This window comes from Homo sapiens, chromosome 1 (genome assembly GCF_000001405.40).
Source record: "Homo sapiens chromosome 1, GRCh38.p14 Primary Assembly".
NCBI lineage: Eukaryota > Metazoa > Chordata > Mammalia > Primates > Hominidae > Homo > Homo sapiens.
Window position 1 is genome coordinate 227,470,009 of NC_000001.11, and position 12,152 is coordinate 227,482,160.

General features: G+C 42.7%; 1 annotated feature.

The window, feature by feature from the left end:
* Window positions 4,198–4,697: an enhancer, noted in NCBI's record as "H3K4me1 hESC enhancer chr1:227661907-227662406 (GRCh37/hg19 assembly coordinates)". NCBI's record gives its function as "activates a minimal SCP1, AML or CMV promoter by ChIP-STARR-seq in naive H9 embryonic stem cells {active_cell/tissue: H9 hESC(naive)}" and the evidence as "EXISTENCE:reporter gene assay evidence [ECO:0000049][PMID:30033119]".

Consider the following 12,152-nt stretch of genomic DNA (forward strand, 5'->3'; position numbering starts at 1 on the left):
TCTCTCCTGCTTCACCACTGCAAGACATGCTTGCTTTCCCTTCACTTTCCACCATAATTGTAAGTTTCCTGAGGCCACTGAGCCATGCTTCCTGTACAGCCTGTGGAACTGTGGGTCAATTAAACTTCTTTTCTTTATAAATTACCCAGTCTCAGGTAGTTCTTTATAGCAGTGTGAGAAAGAACTAATACAGAGAAGGGGGGCATTGCTGGAAAGATACTTGAAAATGTGGCAGCAGCTTTGGAACTGGGTAACAAACAGAGGTTGGAACAGTTTGGAGGGCTCAGAAGAAGATAGAAAGATGAGGGAAGGTTTAGAACTTCATAGAGACTTGTTGAATGGTTTTGACCACAATACTGATAGTGATATGGACAGTGAAGTCCAAGCTGAGCTGGTCTCAGATGGAGATGAGGAACTTATTGGGAACTGGAGTAAAGGTCACTCTTACTGTGCTTTAGCAAAAAGACTGGTGGCTTTGTGCCCCTGTTACAGAGATCTGTGGAACTTTGAACTTGAGAGAGATGATTTAGGGTATCTGGTGGAAGAAATTTCTAAGAAGCAAAGCATTCAAGATATGGCCTGGCTGCTTCTAAAAGCTTACATTCATTTTCATAAACAAAGAAATTACCTGAAACTAGAACTTACATTTAAAAGAGAAGAAGAGTGGAAAAGTTTGGAACATTTGCAGCTTACCCATGTGGTAGAAAAGAAAACCCGTTTTCTGGAGAGGAATTCAAGGCTGCAGAAATTTGCGTAAGTAAAGATTAACTGAATGTTAATAGCAAAGACAATGGGGAAAATGCCTCCAGGACATTTCAGAGACCTTTGTGGTAGCCCCCCCCACATCACAGGCCTGGAGGCCTAGGAGGGAAGAATAATTTCATGGGCCAGGCTCAGGGTCTTGCAGCTCTCTGCAGCCTCAGGACATGGCACCCTCTGTCCATGCTGCTCCAGCTCCAGCCATAGCTAAAAGGGGCCAAGGTACAGCTCAGACCATTGCTTCTGAGGGTGCAAGACCCAAGCCTTGGTGTTTTTCATGTAGTGTTGGGCCTGCAGGTGTGCATAAGGCAAGAGCTGAGGTTTTTGAGTCTCTGCCTAGATTTCACAGGATGTATGAAAATGCCTGGATGTTGAGGTAGAATTCTGCTGCAGGGGTGGAGCCCTTGTGGAGAACCTCTACTAGTACAGTTCAGAGGGGAAATGTGGTGTTGAAGCCCCTGTACAAAGTCCCCATTGGGGCACTGCCTAGTGGAGCCGTGAGAAGAGGGCCACCATCCTCCAGACCCCAGAATAGTAGATCCATTGACAGCTTGCACTGTGTACCTGGAAAGCTTCAGGCACTGAATGCCAGACTGTGAAAACAGCTATGGTGGCTCTACTCTGCAGAGCCATAGGGTCAGAGCTTCCCAAGGCCATGGGAGCCCACCCCTTGCATCAATATGGCCTGGATGTGAGCTATGGAGTCAAAGGAGATTATTTCAGAGCTTTGAGACTTAATGGCTGCCCTGCTGCATTTTAGACTTGTATGGGGCCTGTAGCCCCTTCATTTTGGCCAATGTCTCCCATTCGGAATGGGTTTATTCATCCAGTGACTCTACCCCCATTATATCTTGTAACTGTTTATTTGCAGGCTCATAGGTAAAAGGGATTTGCCTTGTCTCAGATGAGATGTTGGAGGTGGACTTTTGAGTTAATGCTGAAATTAGTTAAAACTTTGGGGGACCGCTGGGATAGCATGACTGTGTTTTGCAATGTTAGAAAGACATGAGATTTGGGAGGGTCCAGGGTAGGATGATATAGTTTGGCTCTGTGTCACCATCTAAATCTCATGTCAAATTGTAATTCCTAATGTTGGGGGAGGGATCTGGTAGGAGGTGATTGGATCATAGGGACATTTCTTCCTTGTTGTTCTCATGATATTGAATGAGTTCTCATGAAATCTAGTTATTTAAACGTGTGTAGCACTTCCCCCTTTACTCTCTCCCTCCTGCTTCACCATGTTAAGACGTGCTTGCTTCCCCTTCACCTTCTGCCATGATCGTAAGTTTCCTGAGGCCTCCCAGCCATGATTCCTGTACAGCATACAGAACTGTGAGTCAATTAAACCTCTTTTCTTCATAAATTACCCAGTCTCAAGTGGTTCTGTGGTTCTTTATAGCAGTGTGAGAACAGACTAATACAGTTGGGTTTTATTCCTTTCAACAGCAAGCCTATAGAAAAAGATCAACTGCTTGGGCTGGAGGAGAAGAACACTTAGGTCAATACATGATTTGTTAGCAACCAGCTAGAGTTTAGGAGAGAACACTTTTGCTGTGCACTTGAAAAGAAACCTGTCTATGGGCACTGGATAAGACACAGGCCTTTTCATGAAGCTTCAAGCCATTCAGAAAGCTTAGCACATGATGGAGGAAAACAGGAATGGTGTTTCCAGATGTAGAGAGATAGGTGATGCTGGAGGGAAAGCTGGATCAGAAGAGAAGGAGTTCATTGTAGATGAATTAGGTTTAATGTCCCTGTGAGATAGCAGAGTGGTAGTGTTCAGTCATCATGTGGATATACCGGACTGGAACCTGAATGTGAGCTAGAGGTAATGAATGAGCAGTATGAGTAGCTACTTAAATGTGGAGAAAGTGTGTAGAGTGAAAGTGGACATGCTGGGCATGGTAGCAAATGTCTCTAGTCCCAGCTGCTTGGGAGGCTGAGGTGGGAGGATTGCTTGAGCCCAGGAATTTTTGTGTGGCCTGTGCAACATGGTGAGACCCCATCTCTTAAAAAAAAAAAAGAGAGAGAAAGTGAATAGAAGATAGGCCTGTAAGGACTATCAGGATGTAAGGAACAAGCCCTCAGATATGTAGGTAGAATTGGAGGAGGAAAAGCAGGATAGGTTACTAAAAGAACAAAGAATTCAAGATAATAGAGGCTGTGATACAGTGCTAAATGCTGCCAGGAAGTTGTTCACTCTGTAAACACTGAATGCTGACTCTGCCACTCTTCTAAGTGCTGGAGTAGAGAGGACAGGTTGAACACAGTTTTTGCCTTTATGAGCTTATGGCCTAATGAAGAAGACATTTTTTTTTTTCAGGTAGTGGCAAATAGCAAGAAAAGAAATTGGGATAAAAGGAAACAGAGTGATTGGAGGAGTTCTTAATTTTAGATCGAATGAGAAGGAGCCTCTCTAGAGAAGTAACATTTGAAAAGTGACCTGACAAAAGTGAGGAAGGGAAGGAGCACGGACATTACAGGCACTGAGGTGAGTGCCAAGACTGGGACAGAAATGTGTTTCATATGTGTTCAGTGAACATATAGCAAGGGGGCCAGCATGGTCAGAGTGAGAAATGAGGGAAGTAATGGAGAAGATGAGATCACACAGGCAATGCCATAACTCACAGGGCCTTTTGTCTTGCAGGCCATGGGAAGAAGTCAAGTTTTTATTCCAGTTTTATGGGTAACTTTTGTCATATCTTGAGCAGGGGAGTGCAGTGCTCTCAATTTAAGAAGTTATGCTGACTGCTTTGGGGGGAGTAGACCATAGCAGGGAGGCAAAGTAGAGGCAGAGTAGAAAGTTAAGAAGCAACTAGGGGTGGCTGGCAAAATGGCCAAATAGGAACAGCCCTGGTCTGCAGCTCCCAACGAGACCAACAGAGAAGGTGGGTGATTTCTGCATTTCCAACTGAGGTACCTGGCTCATCTCATTGGGACTAGTTAGACAGTGGGTACAGCCCATGGAGAGCAAGCCAAAGGAGGGTGGGGTGTCACCTCACCTGGGAAGCACAAGAGGTTGGGGAACTCCCTCCCTTAGCCAAGGGAAGCCATGAGGAATTGTGCCATGAGGAATGGTGCACTCTGGCCTAGATACTATGCTTTTCCCATGGTCTTTGCAACCCACAGACTAGGAGATTCCCTTGGGTGCCTACACCACCAGGGACCTGGGTTTCAAGCACAAAACTGGGCAGCCATTTGGGCAGACATTGAGTTAGCTGCAGGAGTTTTTTTTTTCATACCCTAGTGGTACCTGGAATGCCAGCGAGACAGAGCTGTTCACTCCCCTGGAAAGGGGGCTGAAGCCAGGGAGCCAAGTGGTCTAGCTCAGCAGATCCCCCCACCCCCGCCACAGAGCCCAGCAAGCTAAGATCCACTGGCTTGAAATTCTCATTGCCAGCACAGCAGTCTGAAGTTGACCTGGGATGCTGGAGCTTGGTGGGGGGAGGGGCGTCTGCCATTACTGAGGCTTGAGTAGGCAGTTTTCCCATCACAGTGTAAACAAAGCCGCAGGGAAGTTTGAACTGGGCAGAGCCCACTGCAGCTCGGCAAAGCTGCTGTAGACAGACTGCCTCTCTAGATTCCTCCTCTCTGGGCAGGGCATCTCTGAAAGAAAGGCAGCAGTCCCAACCAGGGGCTTATAGATAAAACTCCCATCTCCCTGGGACAGAGCACCCGGGGGAATGGGTAGCTGTGGGCACAGCTTCAGCAGACTTAAACATTCCTGCCTGCCAGCTCTAAAGAGAGAAGCAGATCTCCCAGTACGGCACTCGAGCTCTACTAAGGGACAGATGCCTCCTTAAAGGGGTCCCTGATCCTTGTGCCTCCTGACTGGAAGACACCTCCCAGCAGAGGATGACAGACCCCTCTCATACAGGAGAGCTCTGGCTGGCATCTGGTAGGTGTCCCTCTGTGATGAAGCTTCCAGAGGAAGGAACAAGCAGCAATCTTTGCTGTTCTGCAGCCTCTGCTGGTGATATCCAGGCAAACAGGGTCTGGAGTGGACCTCCAGCAAACTCCAGCAGACCTGCAGCAGAGGGGACTGACTGTTAGAAAAAAGCTAAGAAATAGCATCAACATCAACAAAAAGGACATCCACACAGAAACCCCATCTGAAGGTCACCAACGTCAAAGACCAAACGTAGATACATCCAGGAAGATGAGGCAAAACTAGCACAAAAAAGCTGAAAATTCCAAACACAAGAACACCTCTTCTCCTCCAAAGGATCACAACTCCTCACCAGCAAGGGAGCAAAACTGGATGGAGAATGAGTTTGACAAACTGACAGAAGTAGGCTTCAGAAGTTAGGTAACAACAAACTCCTCCAAGCTAAAGGAGCATGTTCCAACCCAATGCAAGGAAGCTAAGAACCTTGAAAAAAGGTTAGATGAATTGCTAACTAGAATAATCAGTTTAGAGAAGAACAAAAATGGCCTGACGGAGGTGAAAAACACAGCAAGAGAACTTCATGAAGCATACACAAGTATCAACAGCTGAATCAATCAAGAGGAAGAAAGGATATCAGAGGTTGAGGATCAGCTTAATAAAATAAATTATGAAGACAAGATTAGAGAAAAAAAGAATGAAAAGGAACGAACAAAGGCTCCAAGAAATATAGAACTATGTGAAAAGACCAAATCTACATTTGACTGGTGTACCTGAAAGTGTCGGGAAGAATGAAGTGAAATCTTCTTCAGGATATTATACAGGAAAACTTCCCCAATCTAGCAAGACAGGCCAACATTCAAATTCAGGAAATACAGAGAACACCACAAAGATACTCCTCAAGAAGAGTAACTCCAAGACACATAATTGTCAGATTCGCCAAGGTTGAAATGAAGGAAAAAATGTTAAGGGCAGCCAGAGAGAAAGGTCGAGTTACCCACAAAGGGAAGCCCATCAGACTAACAGTGGATCTCTCTGCAGAAACCCTACAAGCCAGAAGAGAGTGAGGGCCAATATTCAACATTCTTAAAGAAAAGAATTTTCAACCCAGAACTGCATATCCAGCCAAACTAAGCTTCATAAGTGAAAAAGAAATAAAACCCTTTACAGACCAGTAAATGCTGAGAGATTTTGTCACCACCAGGCTTGCCTTACAAGAGTTCCTGAAGGAAGCACTAAATATGGAAAAAAAAAACTGGTACCAGCCACGGCAAAAACATACCAAATTGTAAAGACTGTTGACACTCTGTAGAAACTACATCAACTAATGGGCAAAATAACCAGCTAGCATCATGACAGGATCAAATTCACACATAACAATATTAATCTGAAACATAAACAGGCTAAATGCCCCAATTAAAAGACATAGACTGGCAAATTGGATAAAGAGTCAAGACCCATCGATGTGCTGTATTCAGGAGACCCATCTCACGTACAAAGAAACACATAGGCTCAAAATAAAGGGATGGAGGAATATTTACCAAGCAAATGAAAAAAAAAAAAAAAAAAGCAGGGGTTACAGTCCTAGTCTCTGATAAAACAGACTTTAAACCAACAAAGATTAAAACAACAACAACAACAACAAAAAGAAGGGGATCAATGCAACGAGAAGAGCTAACTATTCTAAATATATACTCACCCAATTCAGGAGCACCCAGATTCATAAATCAAGTTCTTAGAGACCTAAGAAGAGACTTAAAGTCTCCCAGTATTATTGTGTGGGAGTTTAACACCTCACTGTCAATATTAGATCAATGAGACAGAAAATTAACAAGGATATTCAGGACTTGAACTCAGCGCTGGACCAAGCAGACCTAATAGACATCTACAGAACTCTCCACCCCAAATCAACAGAGTATACATTCTTCTCAGCACCTCATTGCACTTATTCTAAGATTGACCACATAATTGGAAGTAAAACACTCCTCACCAAATGCAAAAGAACAGAAATCGTAACAAAAAGTCTCTCAGACCAAAGTGCAATAAAATTAGAACTCAGGATTAATAAACTCACTCAAAACCACACAACTACATGGAAACTGAACAATGTGCTCCTGAATGACTACTGGGTAAATAACGAAATTCAGGCAGAAATAAATAAGTTCTTTGAAACCAATGAGAACAAAGAAACAACATACCAGAATCTCTGGGACACAGCTACTGCAGTGTTTAGAGGGAAAATTATAGCATTAAATGCCCACAGGAGAAAGTGGGAAAGATCTAAAATCGACACCCTAACATCACAATTAAAAGAACTAGAGAATCAATAGCAAATGAATTCAAAAGTTAGCAGAAGACAAGAAATAACTAAGATCAGAGCAGAACTGAAGGAGATAGAGACACAAAAAACTCTTCAAAAAAATCAATGAATACAGGAGCTGGATTTTGAAAAGATTAACAATATAAATAGACCACTAACCAGGTTAATAAAGAAGAAAAGAGAGAAGACTGAAATAGACAAAATAAAAAATGATAAAGGGGATATCACCACTGATCCTACAGAAATACAAACTACCATCAGAGAATACTATCAACAGCTCTATGCAAATAAACTAGAAAATCTAGAAGAAATGGATAAATTCCTGGACACATACTAGTTTTATGTGTTTAGTCCCAAGACTAAACCAGGAAGAAGTTGAATCCTTGAATAGACCAATAATAAGTTATGAAATTGAGGCAGTAATTAATAGCCTACCAACCAAAAGAAGCCCAGGACCAGGCAGATTCACAGCCAAATTCTACCAGAGGTACAAAGAGAAGCTGGTATCCTTCTGAAACTATTCCAAACAACAGAAAAAGAGAGACTCCTCCCTAACTCATTTTATGAGGCCAGCATCATCCTGATACCAAAACCTAGCAGAGACACAACAACAACAACAACAACAACAAAGAAAATTTCAGGTCAATATCCCTGATGAACATCGATGCAAAAATCCTCAATAATATACTGGCAAACCGAATCCAGCAGCACATCAAAAAGCTTATTTACCATGATCAATTTGGCTTCATCCCTGGGATACAAGGCTGGTTCAACATACGCAAATCAATAAACGTAATCCATCACATAAACAGAACCGATGACAAAAACCACGATTATCTCAATAGATGCAGAAAAGGCCTTTGATAAAATTCAACACCCCTTCATGCTAAAAACTCTGAATAAACTAGGTATTGATGGAACATTTCTCAAAATAATAACTATTTATGACAAATCCATGGCCAATATCATACGAATGGGCAAAAGCTGGAAACATATTCCCTTTGAAAATCGGCACAAGACAAGGATGCCTTCACATAGTATTGCAAGTTCTGGCCAAGGCAATCAGGCAAGAGAAATAAATAAAGGGTATTCAAATAGAAAGAGAGGAAGTAAAATTATCTCTGTTTGCAGATAACATGATTGTATATTTAGAAAACCCCATCATCTCAGCCCAAAATCTCCTTAAGTTGACAAGCAACTTCAGCAAAGTCTCAGGATACAAAATCAATGTGCAAAAATTACAAGCATTCCTATACACCAATAATAGACAAACAGAGAGCCAAATCATGAGTGAACTCCCAATTACAATTGCTACAAAGAGAATAAAATACCTAGGAGTCCAACTTACAAGGGATGTGAAGGACCTCTTCAAGGAGAACGACAAACCACTGCTCAAGGAAATAAGGGAGGACACAAATAGAAAAACATTCCACGCTCATGGATAGGAAGAATAAATATCATGAAAATTGCTATACTGCCCCAAGTAATTTATGGATTCAATGTTATCCCCATCAAGATACCATTGACATTCTTCACAGAATTAGAAAAAACTACTTTAAATTTCATATGGAACCAAAAAGAGCCCATGTAGCCAAGACAATCCTAGGCAAAAAGATTGAAGCTGGAGGCATCATGCTACCTGACTTCAAACAATACTACAAGGCTACAGTAACCAAAACAGCATGGTACTGGTACCAAAACAGAGATATAGACCAAAGGAACAGAACAGAGACCTCAGAAATAATGCCACACATCTACAATCATCTGATCTTTGACAAACCTGACAAAAACCAGCAATGGGGAAAAGATTCCCTATTTAATAAATGGTGTTGGGAAAACTGGCTAGCCATATGCAGAAAACTGAAACTGGATCCCTTTCTTACACCTTATACAAAACTTAACTCAAGGTGGATTAAAGACCTAAACATAAGACCTAAAACCATAAAAACCCTAGAAGAAAACCTGGGCAATACCATTCAGCATAGGCATGGGCAAAGACTTCATGATAAAACACCAAAAGCAATGGCAAAAAAAAGCCAAAATTGACAAATGGGATCTGATTAAACTAAAGAGCTTCTGCACAGCAAAAGAAACTATCATCAGAGAGAACAGGCAACCTACAGAATGGGAGAAAATTTTTGCAATCTATCCATCTGACAAAGGGCTAACATCCAGAATCTACAAAAACTTAAACAAATTTACAAGAAAAAATCCCCATCAAAAAGTGGGCAAAGGATATGGACACTTCTCAAAAGAAGACATTTATGCAGCCAACAGACACATGAAAAAAAATCTCATCATCACTGGCCATCAGAGAAATGCAAATCAAAACCACAATGAGATACCATCTTATAGCAGTTAGAATGGTGATCGTTAAAAGGTCAGGAAACAACAGATGCTGGAGAGGATGTGGAGAAATAGGAACACTTTTACACTGTTGGTGGGAGTGCAAATTAGTTCAACCATTGTGGAAGACCGTGTGGCAATTCCTCAAGGATCCAGAACCAGAAATACCATTTGAACCCAGAAATCCCATTACTGGGTATATACCCAAAGGATTATAAATCATTCTATAAAGATACATGCACACATGTTTGTTGCAGCACTGTTCACAATAGCAAAGACTTGGAACCAACCCAAATGCCCATCAATGATAGACTGGATAAAGATAATGTGGCACATATACACCATGGAATACTATGCAGCCATAAAAAGGGATGATTTCATATCCTTTGCAGGGACATGGATGAAGGTGGAAACCATCATTCTCAGCAAACTAACACAGGAACAGAAAACCAAACACCGCATGTTCTCACTCATAAGTGGGAGTTGAACAATGAGATCACATGGACACAGGGAGGGGAACATCACACATCAGGGCCTGTCATGGGGTGGGGGGCTAGGGGAGGGATAGCATTAGGATAAATACCTGATGTAGATGACAAGTTGACGGGTGCAGCAAACCACCATGGCACGTGTATACCTATGTAACAAACCTGCACGTTCTGCACATGTATCCCAGAACTTAAAGTATAATAATAAAAAGAAGCAACTAGGATGATACAGGTGAGCAGTGAAAAATGGCAGCACAGAATCAAAAATATGCAGCCTACCAGTGAAAGTAGACATAGCAGGAGTTGCACACAGATTGGAACAAGCCAATTCAAATGTATGTATCTGGCCTCACAAGTGGGGAAAATAAAAATGCCCTGTACAAGATTAGGGAAGGCTTGGGGAGTGGAGCATTGGGATGAAGAGCTCTGGTTTGCAGATGTGAAGGTTGGGCACCTTGGCATGAGGAGTCTCTGGAAAGTGATGGTGGCAGGGGCCAGGTGGGTTTGGTTAAGGAGAGATGGGAGGTGAGAAGCGGGCACCAGGGCATGATGCTGTGAGCAAATGAGGACATCTCTGGGGGAGTTTTGGAGAGTGGGATGAGAATAAAGGAAACACAGTCATATTGGGGAAGATTTCGGGCAGAGGGAAAGTCTTCAAAAAGAGGTGATTGCGGGAACAGTGTTCTGCGGAAGTGGGACAGGATCAACCACACTGATAAGAGAGTTGGCATAGTGGGAAAAAGGAACTCTCTCTCATTGACCCAGGAAGGCAAGTGGTATCAATGAGTGTCCACAGGTTACCAGCTTAGCAGTAAAGGCAACAGGCAGTTGAGGGCTTGCCAGTGCTGTTTCAATGCTCTCTAATATCTATAGAACATTAACCTGGGGCAGGAGGTTCATTCTTAGGATACTTGAGAGTGTGGAGTTTGGGTGCAAGGGAGAAGAATCTAAGAATACATTGTGTTCAAGAGCCATTTTGTTTTTGAAAACACTGTTGAGTTTGGGGAACACTGCCGGATCTGAGTTGCCAACCTAACTTTCAGATACTAAACAAACTCTTAAAATGAACTGTTTTGAAAACACAGTTGGGTTTGGAGAACGTTGTCAGATCTGAGCTGCCAATCTGATAACCTTCAGACAATAAGCTCTCATAAAATGAACTGTTTTCCTTTTGTCTTGATACATAGTTCAAATGATATATAGACCATATGCTTCTGCAGAGCACCCTTTGAGGTAACAACACCTCACGGCTTACCTCCATAACCTTTACTCAACTGTTCACTTTACCAAATTCTTTGCAGGTAGATGTTTGATAGATGTAAAATACTTCATGAGATTTTCTCACAAACTGCTTGGCAAGTTTAGGGAATCCCAAGGATCAGAGACTGACAGCTGTTACTGCCTTTAAGCCAACAGAATTGACAATGTTGCAGATGATGTAAGACAGAAAATAAGCTGGGTGCAGTGGCTCACGCCTGTAATCCCAGCACTTTGGGAGGCTGAGGTGGGTGGATCACGAGGTGAGGAGATCAAGGCCATCCTGGCCAACAAGATGAAACCATGTCTCTGCTAAAAATACAAAAATTAGCTGGGCATGGTGGCACATGCCTGTAATCCCAGCTACTCGGGAGGCTGAGGCAGGAGAACCTCTTGAACCTGGGAGGCAGAGGTTGCAGTGAGCTGAGATCGCACCACTGCACTCCAGCCTGGAGACAGAGCTAGACTCCTTCTAAAGACAAAACAAAACAAATCAGAAAATAAATTTTCATGAAGTGATTGTGGGGATAGGAAAACTAGGGGCTGTGAGAAGGGCCCTTCTCTACGCGGGTGTTCCTTATCAAGGCACTGAATATGGAAACATCTTATGGCCCCAAAGACCTGAACGTGTCATGCTGTTCTGCACAGCAGCCACTGGGAGGCTCTCTTGGCTAGCTGTTCAAGCTAGCGCCACAGAAGGATTAGTTATTGTGAAAAGGAGAAGATAGCAATGTACTCAGTATCCCCTGGGTTTTATACAATCAAGCATGACATACCTGTGAAATTCCTATCTACCTGCAAACTAGATATAGCAACACATTGCACAAGGTGGGCACTGAAGTATTCATTTAACAACTTTAATGCACACTGGGCCTATGCATGTGCTGCCTTTTATGGGTGTGAAGGTAATGACTCCTTCTGTCTTCATGATACCCTTGGCTGAGATGTCCAGTCATTCCTGTGATCAAAATTGGACTGGAAATTTCTAAGGACAGAGTAGATGGCAGAGACATCTGACTTACAACTGTGATTTGATCTCTTGCTTTGGCTGACTAAGCAAAATCTGAAGAATATAAAAATAAAAGGCATTTATTTT